Source organism: Homo sapiens, chromosome X (assembly GCF_000001405.40).
Source record: "Homo sapiens chromosome X, GRCh38.p14 Primary Assembly".
NCBI classification, from domain to species: Eukaryota; Metazoa; Chordata; class Mammalia; order Primates; family Hominidae; genus Homo; species Homo sapiens.
Genome location: NC_000023.11, coordinates 128666675 through 128685558, shown reverse-complemented (window position 1 = coordinate 128685558; position 18884 = coordinate 128666675). Strand labels below are relative to the sequence as shown.

General features: G+C 39.5%; 1 long non-coding RNA gene across 1 annotated transcript in view, besides 1 other annotated feature; it reads left to right on the top strand.

Moving 5' to 3' along the window:
• The window catches only part of LOC107985698 (uncharacterized), a 375495-nt gene that overhangs the window by 12133 nt on the left and 344478 nt on the right, over positions 1 to 18884 (top strand). The window contains exon 3 of the long non-coding RNA XR_002958819.2: positions 3104 to 3215. This is a non-coding gene — a long non-coding RNA (uncharacterized LOC107985698). The remainder of the gene's footprint in view (positions 1 to 3103; positions 3216 to 18884) is intronic.
• Positions 10464 to 10964: an enhancer, noted in NCBI's record as "H3K4me1 hESC enhancer chrX:127808573-127809073 (GRCh37/hg19 assembly coordinates)". NCBI's record gives its function as "activates a minimal SCP1, AML or CMV promoter by ChIP-STARR-seq in naive H9 embryonic stem cells {active_cell/tissue: H9 hESC(naive)}" and the evidence as "EXISTENCE:reporter gene assay evidence [ECO:0000049][PMID:30033119]".

Sequence of the window (18884 nt, the reverse complement as noted above, 5' to 3'; positions counted from 1 at the left end):
GTAAGCAAGCCTCGTAAGTCTGTGATTCCACTGTCATAAAATAAATCTGAGTAAGGTCAGACTTCAGGTCAGCAATTTTCCTCCAGCTCCATGGCAGCTGTTCTATCAGTGTATTTAACAGTCCTCTGAACCCCAGTATTAACATCTTGCCGTACCCTGCTCCATACTCATCGCAATAGGAAAGGTCACATTTGTCTGGATAAGAGGAAGCAGGAGAGGAAGGTTTTTGTAAAGAAGATTACATTTGAGGTGAGCCTTGAAGCACATGCGGAATTTCTAAACAGGTTTGGAGAAATTGTATCCCAGAAAGAGGCAAAAGTAGGAGCAAAAACATGAAAAACATAGGACAGTGGTTCTCAAACTTTATTGTGAATCAGAATCACTTGGATAACTTTTGAAAGATGCAAGTAACAAGCTTCTACCCTCAGAGATTTTCACTTAGTAGGTCTGGGTTGAGGTCCAAGAATATGCTGCTTTTATAGGCTCATACAGTGATTCTGAAGCAGGTAGTCTATGGACCACACTGGGTGAAAGACTGGTTGAGATGAAAAAGAAAAAAAAAACGAACGAACAATGATTCTCTACGAAATAATAAGAAACGAGTTCAAATGCTAAGTTATTTGGTTCATTGATACATAAATTTCAAGGACATAACATATGAAAAAAATGGTTTGCAGGGAGGAAGTCATTTATGATATTGGGGAGAGTAAATAAAGTAGAAACAAAATGAAAAAAAATTGATTTTAAGGAAACAAGGTGTTCTTTGCCCACAAAAAGATTAAGCTATCAAAGCTACGATATACACATTTCAGAAGCTTTCCTCCACTTTTCGAAGAAAGTAAGAATTGTGGACCAATGTGATATGATTCACCTTACTCTAGAAGCCTCTATATGACCTACCCCCTGCCTATGTCTCCTATCATATTATTTCTGCTTTATTATTCCAAAAATTTAAGTCAGATTATGTCACCCTTTTGTTGAAAACCCTCCAAAGGCTTCCCATTAGAATTAAGTCCAAATGCTCTATTATATTATCTGGCCCCAGTCCCCGCTCTAATCTCATCTCCTATCACTCCGCTCCCAGTTTCCTATAATTCAGCCACATGACTTTTCTTTCTGTTCATTTAAAATACCAAATTAATTCCCCTTACATGGCCTTTGACCTTGCTGCGTTCCTTGTCTGGAATGGTTTCCATCATAATTCAGACTTCTGTCTGGCAGATTCCATTCTCATCATTCAAATCTCAAGTCGAATGTCATGACCTCAAATAAATCATCTCTTACCATACTAAATAAATATTCAATCACTCTCATGCCTGTTACCCCTTATCCCATCACTCTGCTAAATAAATTCCCTTCATATTGCTCACATAATCTAAAATTATATTTTCTTGGTTATTTTTTTCCTATAGGATGTAAACTCCCTAAGTGCAGGAACCTTATCTTATTTTTATTGCTAAAGTTCCAAGGTCTAAGAAAGAATTAACACATAGTGTCAATATATATTTGCTGAAAAACAACCAAATAAATTTAATAGGCATTACCAAAGGTCTCTTTTAGTCTAATCTCTTCATATCTCTCTGTCTATCAAAATTCTCTGAATTTTTTTTTCTCTCAGAGAAACATTTTCCTAGGTTAAAGCATTACCATGTTCTTAGAGGTTTTAAAAATGGAATATATCCCTGGGAAGTGCAATGCCTTAAGCTTTGACCAGGCTTGTATATCCCAGGTCAGATATTGAGGAAGTAGAATTTTGTTTTGGGAGAAAGATAGGAGGGAGCTGTGTGGGTGGGGCTGAGGGGGGTGTGGGGTGGCATTTTGGGGAAAGGATCATTTCTAGAGAAGATGGGCCTAGCTGGGGTGCCACAAGAGCCAATCCCTACATTGGGTACACTGAGAGAGTAGAAGGAACCCTCTAAAGATAAATTGTGTGGACCTCCAACTTGGCCAAGTGTCAAATCCGGAATGAAGAAACTCTGTCTTTCAATTTGTGAACAGTTTTCATTTCACTTCCAGGTTTACCACCTGCCCTCTCTTCAGAAAACTGTCTTTTGAAATTCGTGGGACTTATTTATCATTTTCTTACATGCCACAACCAGTTGTGTCTGTTTTTGCATTGTCCTATTGATATACCTATTGATATAACATAATTTACCATGACACATGCAACTATAGTATCTTAGTGATTCTCAAATGGGAGATGACAGAGGGTTGGATTCTGGAGAAGTGTGATGGCACGTGCCTTTGCTGACAGAATCTTAATGACCAGATGTGGTTTCATGCCCTAATTTGTGGGATGAAGCATTAGTGGATGGATTTAGGCTTTTAGTGGGGATAGTAAGGTTAGAAACACAGACTGAGAACATGCTGTTATCTAAAATCAGTCACCATTGGGAACTGTGAGCCAAGCCCTCAAGATGTTATGAAAATACTACTAAAAGTAGCTAATATTTACATGGCACTTACTCTGTGCCAGGCACCATTTGTAAGTATTTCACATATGTTAGCTCACTTAATCTTCACAATCCTGTGAGGCAGGCACGGCTATTATAAAATTACAGAGGAAACTGAGGTACAGAGGAGATAAACAAATTACCCAAAGGCACAAAGGAGTGGTAGGGAACATATTGAAACTCAAGTGTGGCTGCCAAACCTGAGCTCTTAATAATCACTATCCTATCCTACACTCTATTGGTAATCCTGAAGATAACTGAGTAACAGTAATAGGTGGTAATGATAATAACTACAATAACTACCAGTGTTTTGTGCTAAGTATTAAATACTTTACATGATCTTATTTAACCCTCACAGTACTTCTGTGAAATAAGTGCCATTAGAATCCTTGTGTTGTAGATGGGAAATGTGAGGCTCAGAGTGTACATTCTCTTGCCTAAGATCTTGTAGCTAGGAAGTAGGACAGCCAGGACTTGAACCCAGGTTTCTCTGAACCTGGTTCCTAAAAAAAGTCAAATGGTTATGCCATAGGGTCATGCTAAAGTTAGCCCGTAAGGCCAACATGCAAAGAATTCCTTTGTCTTACAATGAGGCTCCCTGATAAGTGGGAAAGATCAGTAACTCACTCTCCCTTTGCTGTGTTATAAAGGTGGAGCCTCAGAGTATACACGTTGGACATTGCATTCCACAATCCTGCCAATAAGTCAAAAGTGGCCGTCAGCCTAACACTTGGGCCCTGTAGAAGAAACTTCTGTCCAAAGGTAACTGAGGCAAGACTTCTTTTTCCTTTATACAACCCCAGTTTGTTATTTGCTGTTTTTCATATACAAAGATAATGCAACCCGCCCACTGCCCCTAAATGTTACTTTGAATTGTTTCTCTTTCTGTAGGGATAAAGCAAACAGATGCCTTCTATTTTATGGGGTCCCTGTTGTGATTTTAAAAACAGCTGGTCAAGATTAGGTGCTCAGGCTGTGGTCAGGGTTAAGTATCCCTGCCTTGTCCAAGGTGAAGGTCTGTGGCAGTGATGAGGATAAGAGCAAAACTCATTGACTCACTGGGGGACTATACCTTTATCTTAATTGTCCTGCCCTTTAGCCAGTTCCTGGCGAGGCAGCAGAAACTTCAATTTTCTAGTCTTAGTGTCATTTGCAATGCAATTCAAATTGCTCAATATGGTCTTTCCTGCTCCCACCTGCTGCCATATATGTGAGTTCCTTGCCACTTCTACCCCTCAGTGAAGTGTGCAGTGAAATGAATCTGTTTTATTTCCCTCACACACAGCAGTCAGCGACTCCCTGTTGGTGCAGTGAGACAAGGCAAGTGTAGGGCATCCCAGACACTTGACTATTAGTATCTATCTTATATAAATCCTCTGACCACTGCTCTGGGTCCTCACCCAAGTGACCTGGTAACATTTACAAAGGAGTGGTAGGGCACATTTTGAAACTCAAGTGTGGCTGCCAAACCTGAGCTCTTAATAGTCACTATCCTATCCTACACTCTATTGGTAATCCTGAAGATAACTGAGTAACAGTAATAGGTGGTAATGATAATAACTACAATAACTACCAGTATTTTGTGCTAAGTATTAAATACTTTACATGATCAAAGTTATATCATTATCAAAGTTAGAGACCAACCCCCTTTTCCACCCCCAACAGAACTATTGCCCAATCTATCACGAGGGGATCTTAGCTGAGCTCAGTTGGAAACTGCTCTTTGCATGCCCCCAGCTGCTATTTCCAATGTCTTTCCTTTGACATTAGGAAAGCTGTACTTCGCTGTCAGTGGACCCCTTAACCCACTGAGGATGGGCTGAGATCAGCATGCTGTCTTGGTTTTATGAAGCAGCAGCAGCGTATTCTTTTAGTCACTATAACATTAAGGCCAGGGCTTTCAGAGAGAAAAAAAAGTTTTTCAGGCGTTAAAAATGGCATCAAATCTCCTTCATGATAGCCTCTGCCATAGCAGTACATAGTACCTCAGGTCCGGAGTACTGATGGCAGAAGGAAAAGTGTTGTGAAGAAGGCGATCCCAGGAAGACAAGTGAGGGGGATGACGAGTTTGCCCTCATAGGAAATGTTTCATTGTCTACTTCTACTATTTATAAAGAAACAACATTCTCTTCACTTCGAGTGTTTGTCCTGCTTTATATTCTGCACCCTGCACCCTGTGTGGTGTTTTCTGTCTAGGCCAGTGAGTTTCAAGAAATGGAGAAGTTTGTTGCTGTGTGTGTGTTTGGGGGATGGACGGGAAGGGGTGTGGTGTGAGGACAAGACTATATCAAAATAGGGCAAGGGGTATGTATACTTTAGAAAAAAATTCCATATTATGATGAAAGTAAAGATTGATAAGCTTTTCTTGCCTGATGGAAATCAGTATTACACACACTAGCTTCCTTATATCAGTGAGTCTCAAATGGTCAGGTGGCAAGACCCCCTGAGAGGATTTATCACAACAAAGGGAAAAGTTATGCTTTGTGTTTATCAGAAGGAGCCAAGAGTTAAAAGCAGACAGAAAATATCAGCTTTATGTCTCATGCATTTTCCGTCTCACTAGTGGTGCTTTGAATTTACCCATGTTCTGCACAGGAGAATGAAGGAAGAGTGCCTTGTCTGACAGCACCTTGCCTTTTTTAACAAGCTGAGCTCAGGGTTTATTTATTCATAAGGTGTTTGCTTTTTCCCCTTGCCTTTTTGCTCTCTCCCTTTTTTGAGCTTTAATTCTGCCTTGTTTAATATTCTTGTCGTTGATTCTGTTACCCTGCATTTGGTGACTTCAGATTACCTCTTTCAGTGTCTTGTCTCCGTGCGTGCCTGCTTGTCTCTGTATTTTTTTATTTATTTTTGAGACAGGGTCTTGCTCTGTTGCCCAAGCTGGAGTGCAGTGGTGCAATCTTGGCTCACTGCAACCTCGACCTCCTGGTCTCAAGTGATCCTCCCACCTCAGCCTCCTGAGTACCTGGGACCACAATTTTGTGCCACTACACTCAGCTAATTTTTGTATTTTTTGTAGAGATAGGGTTTTTCCATGTTGCCCAGGCTGGTATTGAACTCTTGGGCTGAAGCCATCTGCCTGCCTTGGCCTCCCAAAGTTCTCAGATTACAAGCATGTGCCACTATTCTGGCCTCTGCGTTTCTCTTTATTGGGGTCTGTCTCTTTCCTTGGTGTGTTAACCTCATCTGTCTCTCATTTCTTCAAATCATTGTCTTTCTCTGGGTCTTTTATTTATGTCTCTATCACTCTTCTATACACAACCTCATGTAAAAATCTCCTCTCCGACCCTCCAAGCTTCTTAGTTACTTCAGATACTTTATGGGGTAAGAGAGGGAACTGTGATGTTTCACTTGTCTGTGGTACCTACTCACTCCTTTGCCTTCCCCAAACATAAGATCTCTTAATCCAAGGTTTGGCAAACTGAGACCTGCATGCCAAATCCGGCCCTGTTTTTGTAAATATAATTTTGTAAAATATTTACTATCTGGCCCTTTACAGAAATCTTTGCTGCTTCCCTTCTTAACCAATGCTTTAGTGGGCATCAGAATTGCATGGGTGTAGGGTAAATGCAGCTGATAGCAATAACTTCAGCATACCCTGAGAATGACACTATACGGCAGACTCACCTGAGAGTGTGTTCTGAGCTAGGGAACCTGGGAGTAGCCAACCCAGAGAAGCATTCCCTGTCTATGAGGAACATCTAAATCTATGGCCTATCCAGTGGAAAACTGGCTGTACAGGGGATCAAAGCCCTGAATTTTGGGTTGAATGAAGCTTGCCAGGTGGAGGTTGTTAGGGAGAAGGTACTAAGTAAAAATGCTATATAAACTACATGTTTTCTTTTCAAGCGGTTGCAGTTCTGCCCAGCCTGCCATCACCGGGCCGTGTGGTTATCCTGCCCAGACCTCCACAACTGGTCTCTTTTCCCTGTATGTAAGCCCCCACTAAAACCCTAGGTCTCATTTGCTGGATCTGGGTCTCTTCTTTGGCCTCTTGAACCTGGTGCCATCCACATTGGAGTTGATAGGGGTTTGCCACAGCAGTGGGGAGAGTATTGAAATGCAGCCTTCTAGAACCCATCACCAAAGATACCCATTCAGTTTCTCTAGAGTGTGAACACTAATCTGCATTTTCAACAAGCAGGTTCTTGTGATGAGGCAAATTAGGAAAATGCTGAAAATGCGCCCATTGCACAGATCAGGAATTTAAATCCAGAGATTCCTAGCTGACCATATGTGCATACAAACATAGAAAATGACCCTATTTTAAACAAGACTATAACTTTCTATTTGCCTTTTTGTCCAAAACTAGGAAAGAGTATGTTGTGCCTGTGTAAGCCTCTCTTTTGTCTGAGAGCTGCTGCTGTGACTTAGGACCTTGCTATTCAATGTTTGGTCCACAGACTAGCTACCAACCACATAGGCATCATTAGGGAGCCCATTAGAAATGTAGAAGCTCAGGCTCCACTCTGCACCTAGTGAATCAGAATCTGCACTTTTACAAAATCCACAGGTGATTCACATGTACATTGATGTTTGAGAAACACTGGTCTTGGGGAAAGAACACTGGTTCTGCCCCTAAGTATACCCACCTGGGAGGTACTGTGTAGTGCTGAGATGAGTATGTGTTTTGAAATGAAATGGTGCTGTGTTAAAACCCCTGAAGTGCTCCTTATTAGCTATGTGACTTTGACCATGGCACTTCCCCTCTCAGTATTGTTTTCACATCTGTAATGGAGAAAGAATAACACCTGCCTGCCAGTGATGATAGGAATTTCTGTGGGATAATTCATGTAAAATGTCTGGCAGATATTAGTTGTACAATAAACACTCATGCTCCTTCCTTGCCTCGGTTTCCTCAAGTGTAAAATGAGGGGAAGGATAACAACACCCACACAGCCTCTACCACAAAGTTATCATGAGGAATGTCTACATGAAAATGATCTGCAAACCACTATCCTTATACAAATGTAAGGTGACATCACTACTAGTTCTGAAAGTGTATAAAGTCCCCAACAGTTATTCATGAGAACCAGAAAATACCAGAGTAATCCTCCTGACAGGCTCTACAAAACATGTTTTGATTTGTTGAGAGTGTGGAATACAGACAGTCAATACCAGTGACATTCGTGAACCAGCATGTTTGAAAAAGTGTGTGTGTGAAAGTCAACTTTGTTATAACCCTCTCACTTGCTAGTTATTCCAGTTACTACCTGGCATTAGCTAGATTTTTGCCTGATGTTAGTTAGCTTTTGCATTTTGGCCAAAGTCGATCTGGATACAGAATACAGAGAAAATGATGCCACTTTCCAAGAGGCTCAGTCTTACCATCAGAGATAGAAGAATAAAGAGGCAGCACCTGGGAAGAAGAGAAGGCGATAGAAATAAAAGCCTCCAGCAGCTGGCAATAATAATAAAAACACTACCTGAGGTATTTATATATACTTAGCATCAGTACACAATTCCCAGCCCACCTTCCTCTATCACCAAGGCAACGTGGACGGGACAGAGGTAAGTCTGCTTCTCTTTTTTCTTACGGACACGATCTCCTCATATGCTATGGCTTGTGGCATATAGGTATAGAGATGATTTATTGTGTAGAGAACTCACTGTGTGCCAAGCATTGTGTTATATTCTTTACATTAACCTCATTTAATCCTCAGAATAATCCTGTAGAAGACAAAATTATTGTCATTCGCAACGTACAGATCTGAAAACTGAGGCTCAGAGGAATTGCATTCCCTTCCTAAGGTCTGACAGTTTCCCCATGGTAGTGCCTGGATTCAGATCCAGGTCTTTTTTATTTCATCTCACGTGCTCATTGGTTTTGCCTCACTGACCCCTGCGTTCCTAGGTTTATTGACTCCATTTTCTTCATATTTCAGAGTTCCAGGGGTCTGTGGAAAGGGCTTATTTTCCCAGAATCTATCCTCAGTCAGAGTATCTTCTTTTCTATGGAATGTACTGCAACTTCTTTTCTGGGTAGCTAGTATACCAATTTAGCCTTGTATGTGAGGCAAAGACCTGAGTTTGATGAAATCCACCCGGCCCACTTGCACTGCGTGTGTAATAAATAGGTAAGGGACAGAAAACAAAGGATTTGAGGGAGGGTCAGAAAATGTGCAGGACTTAGTGTAATTGCCAAAAATAACTGCTTTTAGGAGCGAGCATAATGGGGAGGTGTACCACCAGTGCACTTCTTATTCTTTGCCTGTGGTCCCATCCAAAGATACTAGAGAGTTTTGTGGTTATAGACTATGAATCATATCCTCTCCCTGCCTCCAACTCTCTCCTGAGGCTCCCCCATGTAAAAATCTCATGCTACTGTCCATCTACCCGTGAATCTGTCCATTATTGATTGTCCACTATGTGTGCAGACAATCACACATTGTACACTGAAGTTCGTCTTTCTGATTGTTGCTTTTACTAATGCACTGAAGGTGGTGATATTAGGATAGGGAACTAATCTCTACAAAAGTAGGGCTTTTTATATATTTAATGATATATTTAGTGTAATATATGCAACTTTTGCCAACTTCTTTGGTTTTTTTTTTTTTTTTTTTTTTTTTTGCCAAGTTTTGACCACCATTGCCTAGGCTACTTATTATTATTCTTCAGCAGGGTAAATAATGTCTGCCTTTTCAGATAGTTTAATTTCCATTTTTTTTCCTGAATTTTCTGAATTAAAACTCTTTTTCCATTTACTTCTCAAAGAGTGGTCATGAAACCACTGCATCAGGATCACCTACAATTATTGTTAAAATGCAGATTCCTATGTTCCATCTCAAACTTATGGAACTGAAATCTCCTAAACATTGAGCCTCGCAATCTGCAGATTTATCACACTGATGTTAAAGAACCCTTGCTCTAATTGTTTTTTTCCTCCATTTCAGACACCTGAGTCCTCTTTGATCTTTCTGCTTCCTATTTCCAGAGCAGCTTAGTGTCTCCAGGAAATGCTTGAGAGGATCTTTTATGTACCCAGGAGTTAACTGCTAGTCATTTAAGAGTAATATTCTGAAGCCATCAAGGTAATTAAAGCAACTGTATTTCACCCATGCCCTGAGGGGTGCAAGGTACTTAAGAGGAAAATGTGTGGATGTTGCCTCCAGCATGCACAGGACGGCCTTATAAGTAGATCTGAATGCCAGCCTATAACCCATTCACTAACAGAAACTCTCTCATTTCAGCCTCAAGTGCATAGGCTTGTCAGTGGGATGGTTTTCTACATCCTAGTTCATCAGCTCCATTGAACTGTGGAGACACTTTTACTTCCAAAATAACCTTACAAACACCTGGCCCTGAAGGCACAGTTTGGAAAGGGAAATTGATTTCAATTTTCAAGTGTAATGGCTAAAGGTTGTCAATGTACTGTAAGGGTGCAGGATGATGTCATTTTGGGACACACCCTGGCTTCCAGGGCCATGTGCAAAGCATGCTTAATTGGATGCTGCAAATAATATTCTACTACAGGAGAGGTTCCAAATTGTAGAGGTGTCCTGAAGACATTTAATGCAGTTTTGTATACTGAAAAATTATCACTCACTTTCATTTGAAGCAACTGGGCTTGAAAATGTCTAGTCATGGTTGAGGGGCAAGATGGCCGAACAGGAACAGCTCTGGTCTGCAGCTCCCAGTGAGACCAATGCAGAAGGCAGGTGATTTCTGCATTTCCAACTAAGGTACCCGGTTCATCTCACTGGGACTGGTTAGACAGTGGGTGCAGCCCACGGAGGGTGAGCAGAAGCAGGGAGGGGTGTCACCTCACCTAGGAAGTACAAGGGGGTGGGGAATTCCCTCCCCTAGCCAAGGGAAGCAGTGAAGGACCATGCCATGAGGGACCATGCAGTGAGGGACAGTGCTATCTGGCCCAGATTCTACACTTTTCCCCTGGTCTTCGCAACCCACAGACCAGGAGGTTCCCTCAGGTGCCTATACCACAAGGCCCCTGGGTTTGAAGCACAAAACTGGGTGGCCATTTGGTCAGACACGAGCTAGCTGCAGGAGTTTTTTTTTTTTTTTTTCCCCGTACCCCAGTGGCACCTGGAATGCCAGCAAGACACAACCATTCACTTCCCTGGAAAGGGGGCTAAAGCCAGGGAGTCAAGTGAAGTGGTCTTGCTCAGCAGATCCCACCCCCCATGGAGCCCAGCAAGCTAAGATCCACTGGCTTGAAATTGTCACTGCTAGCAGAGCAGTCTGAGGTCAACCTGGAATGCTCGAGCTTGGTGGGGGGAGGGGCGTCTGCCATTACTGAGGCTTGAGTAGGCAGTTTTCCCCTCACAGTGTAAACAGAGCCACTGGGAAGTTCGAACTGGGCAGAGCCCACAACAGCTCAGCAAAGCTGCTGTAGCCAGACTGCCTCTCTAGATTCCTCCTCTCTGGGCAGGGCATCTCTGAAAGAAAGGCAGCAGCCCCAGTCAGGGGCTTATAGATAAAACTCCAGTCTCCCTGGGACAGGGCACCTGGGGGAAGGGGTGGCTGTGGGCACAGCCCACATTGAAGTCAGCAGACTTCAATGTTCCTGCCTGCTGGCTCTGAGGAGACCAGCGAATCTCCCATCACAGCGCTCAAGCTCTGCCAAGGGACAGACTGCCTCCTCAAGTGGGTCGCTGACCCCTGTGCCTCCCGACTGGGAGACACCTCCCAGCAGGGGTCAACAGATACCTCATACAGGAGAGCTCCAGCTGGCATCTGGCGGGTGCCCCTCTGGGATGAAGCTTCCAGGGGCAGGAACAGGCAGCAATCTTTTCAGTTCTGCAGCCTCTGCTGGAGCTACCCAGGAAAACAGGGTCTGTAGTGGACCTCCAGCAAAGTCCAGCAGACCTGCAGCAGAGGGACTTGACTGTTAGAAGGAAAACTAACAAACAGAAAGGAATAGCATCAACATCAACAAAAAGGACGTTCACACAAAAGCCCCATCTGAAGGTCATCAACATCAAAGACCAAAAGTAGATACATCCACGAAGGTGAGGAAAACCCAGCACAAAAAGGCTGAAAAATCCAAAAACAAGAATGCCTTTTCTCTTCCAAAGAATCACAACTCCTCACTAGCAAGGGAACAAAACTGGAGAGAGATTGAGTTTGATGATTTGACACAAGTAGGCTTCAGATGGTGGGTAATAATAAACTCCCTCAAGCTACAGGAGCATGTTCTAACCCAATGCAAAAAAGCTAAGAACCTTGAAAAAAGGTTAGAGGAATTGCTAACTAGAATAACCAGTTTAGAGAAGAACATAAATGACCTGATGAAGCTGAAAAACACAGCACGAGAACTGAGTGAAGCATACACAAGTATCAATAGCCAAATTGATCAAGCAGAAGAAAAAATATCAGAGATTGAAGATAAACTTAATGAAATACAACATGCAGACAAGATTAGAGTAAAAAGAATGAAAAGAAACAAAGCCTCTAAGAAATATGGGACTATGTGAAAATATCAAACCTATGTTTGATTGGTATACATGAAAGTGACTTGGAGAATGGAACCAAGTTAGAAAACACTCTTCAGGATATTATCCAGGAGAACTTCCCCAACCTAGCAAAACAGGCCAACATTCAAACTCAGGAAATACAGAGAACATCACAAAGACACTCCTCGAGAAGAGCAACTCAAGGACACATAATCGACAGATCCACCAAGGTTGAAATGAAGGAAGAAATGTTAAAGGCAGTGAGAGAGAAAGGTTGGGTTACCCACAAAGGGAAGCCCATCAGACTAACAGCAGACCTTTGCAGAAACCCTACAAGCCAGAAGAGAGTGGGTGCCAATATTCAACATTCTTAAAGAAAAGAATTTTCAACCCAGAATTTCATATCCAGCCAAACTAAGCTTCATAATCAAAGGAGAAATAAAATCTTTTACAGACAAGCAAATGCTGAGAGATTTTGTCACCACCAGGCCTGCCTTACAAGAGCTCCTGAAGGAAGCACTAAATATGGAAAGGAAAAACCAGTACCAGGCACTGCAACAACATACCAAATTGTAAAGACCACCGACACTATGAATAAACTGCATCAACTAATGGGCAAAATAACCAGCTAGCATCATAATGACAGGATCAAATTCACACGTAACAATATTACCCTTAAATGTAAACGGGGCTAAATGCCCCAATTAAAAGACACAGACTGGCAAATCAGATAAAGAGTCAAGACCCATCGGTGTGCAGTATTCAGGAGACCCATCTCACATGCAAAGACACACATAGGCTCAAAATAAAGGGATGGCGGAAGATTTACCAAGCAAATGGAAAGCAAAAAAAAGCAGGGGTTACAATCCTAGTCTCTGATAAAACGGACTTTAAACCAACAAAGATCAAAAAAGATAAAGAAGGGCATTACATAATGGTAAAGGGATCAATACAACAAGAAGAGCTAACTACCCTAAATATATATGCACCCAATACAGGAGCACCCAGATTCATAAAGCAAGTCCTTAGTGACCTACAAAGAGACTTAGACTCCCACACAATAGTAGTGGGAGACTTTAACACCCCACTGTCAATACTAGATCAATCAGACAGAAAATTAACAAGTATATCCAGGACTTGAACTCAGCTCTGGGCCAAGTGGACAAAAGAGACATCTACATAACTCCCCACCCCAAATCAACAGAATATACATTCTTCTCAGCACCACATTGCACTTATTTTAAAATTGACCACATAATTGGAAGTAAAACACTCCTCAGCAAATGAATGCAAAAGAACAGAAATCACAACAGTCTGTCACACCACAGTGCAATCAAATTAGAACTCAGGATCAAGAAACTCACTCAAAACTGCACAACTACATGGAAACTGAACAACCTGCTCCTGAATGACTACTGGGTAAATAACAAAATTAAAGCAGAAATAAATAAGTTCTTTGCAACCAAAGAGAACAAAGACACAACATGCCAGAATCTCTGGGACACAGCTAAAGCAGTGTTTACAGGGAAATTTATAGCACTAAATGCCCACAGGAGAAAGCAGGAAAGATCTAAAATTGACACCCTAACATCACAATTAAAAGAACTAGAGAAGCAAGAGCAAACAAATTTGAAAACGAGCAGAAGGCAAGAAATAACTAAGATCAGAACATAACTGAAGGAGACAGAGACACAAAAAAAAACCTTCAAAAAATCAATGAATCCAGGAGCTGGTTTTTTGAAAAGATCAACAAAATAGATCTCTAGCCAGACTAATAAGAAAAGAGAGAAGAATCAAATAGACACAATAAAAAATGATAAAGGGGATATCAGCATTTGATCCCACAGAAATACAAACTACCATCAGAGAATACTATAAACACCTCTATGCAAATAAACTAGAAAATCTAGAAGAAATTGATAAATTCCTGGACACATACACCCTCTCAAGACTAAACCAAGGAGCAGTCGAATCCCTGAATAGACCAATGACAAGTTCTGCAGTTGAGGCAGTAATTAATAGTCTATCAACAAAAAAAAAGCCCAGGACCAGATGGATTCACAGCTGAATTCTACCTGAGGTACAAAGAGGAGCTGGTACCATTCTTTCTGAAACTATTCCAACAATAGAAATAGAGGGACTCCTCCCTAACTCATGTTATGAGGCCAGCATCATCCTGATATGAAAAACCTGACAGAGACACAACAAAAAAAGAAAATTACAGGCCAATATCCCTAATGAACATCGATGCGAAAATCCTCAATCAAATACTGGCAAACCCAATCCAGCAGCACATCAAAAAGCTTATCCACCACGATCAAGTTGGCTTCATCCCTGGGATGCAAGGCTGGTTCAAAATACACAAATCAATAAACATAATCCATCACATAAACAGAACCAATGACAAAAACCACATGATTATCTCAATAGATGCAGAAAAGGCCTTCTGTAAAATTCAACACCCTTCATGCTAAAAACTCTCAGTAAACTAGGTATTGATGGAACATATCTCAAAATAATAAGAGCTACTTATGACAAACCCACAGCCAATATCATACTGAATGGGCAAAATCTGGAAGCATTCCCTTTGAAAACTGGCACAAAACAAGGATGCCCTCTGTCACCACTCCTCTTCAACATAATATTGGAAGTTCTGACCAGGGCAATAAGGCAAGAGAAAGAAAAAAGGATATTCAAATAGGAAGAGAGGAAGTAAAACTGTCTCTGTTTGCAGATGACATGATTGCATGTTTAGAAAACCCCAGAGTCTCAGCCCAAAAACTCCTTAAGCTGATAAGCAACTTCAGCAAAGTATCAGGATACAAAATCAATGTGCAAAAATCACAAGCATTTTTATATACCTATAATAGGGAGCCAAATCATGAGTGAACTCCCATTCACAATTGCTACCAAGAGAATAAAATATCTAGGAATAAAACTTACAAGAAATGTGAAGGACCTCTTTAAGAAAAATTACAAATCACTTCTCAGGGAAATAAGAGAGGACATAAACAAATGGAAAAAACATTCCATGCTCATGAATAGGAAGAATTAATATAGTGAAAATGGCCGTACTGCCCAAAGTAATTTATAGATTCAATGCTATCCCCATCAAGCTACCACTGACTTTCTTCACACAATTAGAAAAAACTACTTTAAATTTCATATGGAACCAAAAAAGAGCCCATATAGCCAAGACAATCCTAAGCAAAAAGAACAAAGCTGGAGGCATCATGCTATCTGACTTCAAACTATACTAAAAGGCTGCAGTAACCAAAACAGCATGGTACTGGTACCAAAACGGATATATAGACCAATGGAACAGAACAGAGGCCTCAGAAATAATGCTACACATCTACAACCATCTGATCTTCAACAAACCTGACAAAAACAAGCAATGGGGAAAGGATTCCCTATTTAATAAATGGTGTTGGGAAAACTGGCTAGCCATATGCAGAAAACTGAAACTGGACCCCTTCCTTACACAAAAATTAACTCAAGATGGATTGAAAACATAAACATAAGACCTAAAACCACAAAAACCCTAGAAGAAAACCTAGGCAATACTATTCAGGACATAGGCATGGGGAAAGATTTCATGACTAAAACACCAAAAGCAATGGCAACAAAAGCCAAAATTGACAAATGGGATCTAATTAAACTAAAGAGCTTCTGCACAGCAAAAGAAACTATCAACAGAGTGTACAGGCAACCCACAGAATAGGAGAAAATTTTTGCAATCTATCCATCTGACAAAGGGCTAATATCTAGAATCTACAAAGAACTTACACAGATTTACAAGAAAAAACCAACCCCATCAAAAAGTGGGTGAGGGATATGAACGGACACTTTTCAAAAGAAGATATTTATGCGGCCAACAAACATATGTAAAAAAGCTCGTCATCACTGGTCATTAGAGAAATTCAAATCAAAACCACAATGAGATACCCTCTCATGCCAGTTAGAATGGCAATCACTAAAAAGTCAGGAAACAACAGATGCTGGAGAGGATGTGGAGAAATAGGAACACTTTTACACTGTTGGTGGAGTGTAAATTAGTTTAGCCATTGTGGAAGACAGTGTGGCGATTCCTCAAGGATCTGGAACTAGAAATATTATTTGACCCAGCAATCCCATTACTGGGTATATGCCTAAAGGATTATAAATCATTCTACTATAAAGACACATGCACGAGTATGATTTTTGCAGCACTATTCACAATATCAAAGACTTGGAACCAACCCAAATGCTCATCAGTGATAGTCTGGATAAAGAAAATGTGGCACATATACACCGTGGAATACTATGCAGCCATCAAAAAGATGAGTTCATGTCCTTTGCAGGGACATGGATGAAGCTGGAAACCATCATTCTCAGTAAACTAACACAGGAACAGAAAACCAAACACTGCATGTTCTCACTCATAAGTGGGAGTTCAACAATGAGAACACATGGACACAGGGAGGGGAACATCACACACCGCGGTCTGTGGGAGCATGAGGGGGGCAAGGGGAGGGATAGCATTAGGAGAAATACCTAATGTAGATGATGGGTTGATGGGTGCAGCAAAGCAACATGGCACATGTATGCCTATGTAACAAGCCTGCACATTCTGCACATGTATCCCAGAACTTAATGTATAATATATATAAAAAAGGAAAATGTCTAGTAGTGGATACACAGACGGAAATCCAAACATTAATTAAGTTAGAACAACCCCAAAACAGTTGATTCAACAAATCCTTTTATCTCAGGTAACCGTATTATGCATAGTTCAAACTCTGATAATTTGGGGAGTGAAAGGGGGCACTATTAATCAAGTCAAGACAGTAGACATAAACTGGTATGTAAGCAAACCTTATTTCCATGCCATTTAATCTTAACAAGCACACTCTGCCATATAGTCTCCTTTGCTATTGCAGGGAACGATACCAGTAAGTATTTTGGGATGCAGAAACACATAGATTTGAGGAGAAGATGACTAGAAAGTCAGCTTTCCCACCCTTCTTTCTGAAGTATGAGACAGCTTTTTCTGTGTTTTCAATCAAATGTGAATATTTGGAATATATATGATGCCAGGCAACTGGATGATACATGTACCATGGCAACAGTCAGTGGTTCTTTAGCTGATAACAGCCAAGTATTAGGTTATACATACATACATATATATATAAAAATATATATTTTTATATAATATATAATATATATATATTTTTATATATTATAATATATTATATATTATAAATATATAATATATTATATAATATATAAAAATATATTAGTATATATTAATATATTATTTATATTAATATATTAGTATATATTAACATATTATTTATATTAATATATTAGTATATATTAACATATTATTTATATTAATATATTAGTATATATTAACATATTATTTATATTAATATATTAGTATATATTAACATATTATTTATATTAATATATTAGTATATATTATTTATATTAATATATTAGTATATATTATTTATATTAATATATTAGTATATATTATTTATATTAATATATTAGTATATATTATTTATATTAATATATTAGTATATATTATTTATATTAATATATTAGTATATATTAATATATTATATGAAAATATATATAATATAATATATATCATATATAATATATATGATATATAATATATATTATAATATACATTATATATTATATTATATATTATATAATATATGATTTATATGCAACGTATAACATACATCGATATATGATTTATATGCAACGTATAACATACATCGATATATGATTTATATGCAACGTATAACATACATCGATATATGATTTATATGCAACGTATAACATACATCGATATATGATTTATATGCAACGTATAACATACATCGATATATGATTTATATGCAACGTATAACATACATCGATATATGATTTATATGCAACGTATAACATACATCGATATATGATTTATATGCAACGTATAACATACATCGATATATGATTTATATGCAACGTATAACATACATCGATATATGATTTATATGCAACGTATAACATACATCGATATATGATTTATATGCAACGTATAACATACATCGATATATGATTTATATGCAACGTATAACATACATCGATATATGATTTATATGCAACGTATAACATACATCGATATATGATTTATATGCAATGTATAACATACATCGATATATGATTAATTATATATAATAAATATGTATATATTACTCTGAGACAATCTGCTAAGCAATAAGCTTAGAATGCATATGGGACACTTTAGCATGAAGTTTGGCTTCAGGATTTGGAAGATTTAAAGCCAAATTAATCTCAGGGAGACTCCTTAAGCGTCAATTATTTTCCTATTTTGTTTCACACACATTCACACGTGCTCTCCCAAGCACAACAGCTCACACCTACATGGATATAGACATGCAAATACACAAAACCTGTTTAACATCTAGTGGCCAAACTTAGCCTGATGGGGATATCAGGACCTAGTGACAAGAGTGTGTGCCCAGTGTCAGATCTATAGCACAGAGGAATATCCTCCTGTGCCTCTCTGCTGCAGTCTACCAGCTGCTTGGGATAAAAATCTGTATTCCTGGAGGAATGAGGGAGGCATCTAATATGAACCATCTTACTAATTCAACCTTTTCCTTATTCTCCATTGCCTTTTCAACTTTCTTCCCTACAGATCTGATCTTAACTTTCACCAAGCTGACTTAATAGTTCTCCAGCAAATGAGTACCTCTCACAAAGGATGTAGCTGAAGTGGTTATTGTATGCAAATTGAGGGTTAGGGACCCCTCATAGAGCCACAATGCCACACTGTAAAAATCTTCTATAGCTCCTATGCTTTGACGTACATGGGTCCCTTGAGGATCCTTCAGCCTCTGTGTCACCAAGCTACGTGAAGGTTGCCCAAGATTTAGCTGCCTTTTGTAGAGAATCATTTTCAGAAGTTGATAGTGAACTTTCAAGAGTTGATGTGCAAAGGTATTTAAAATTG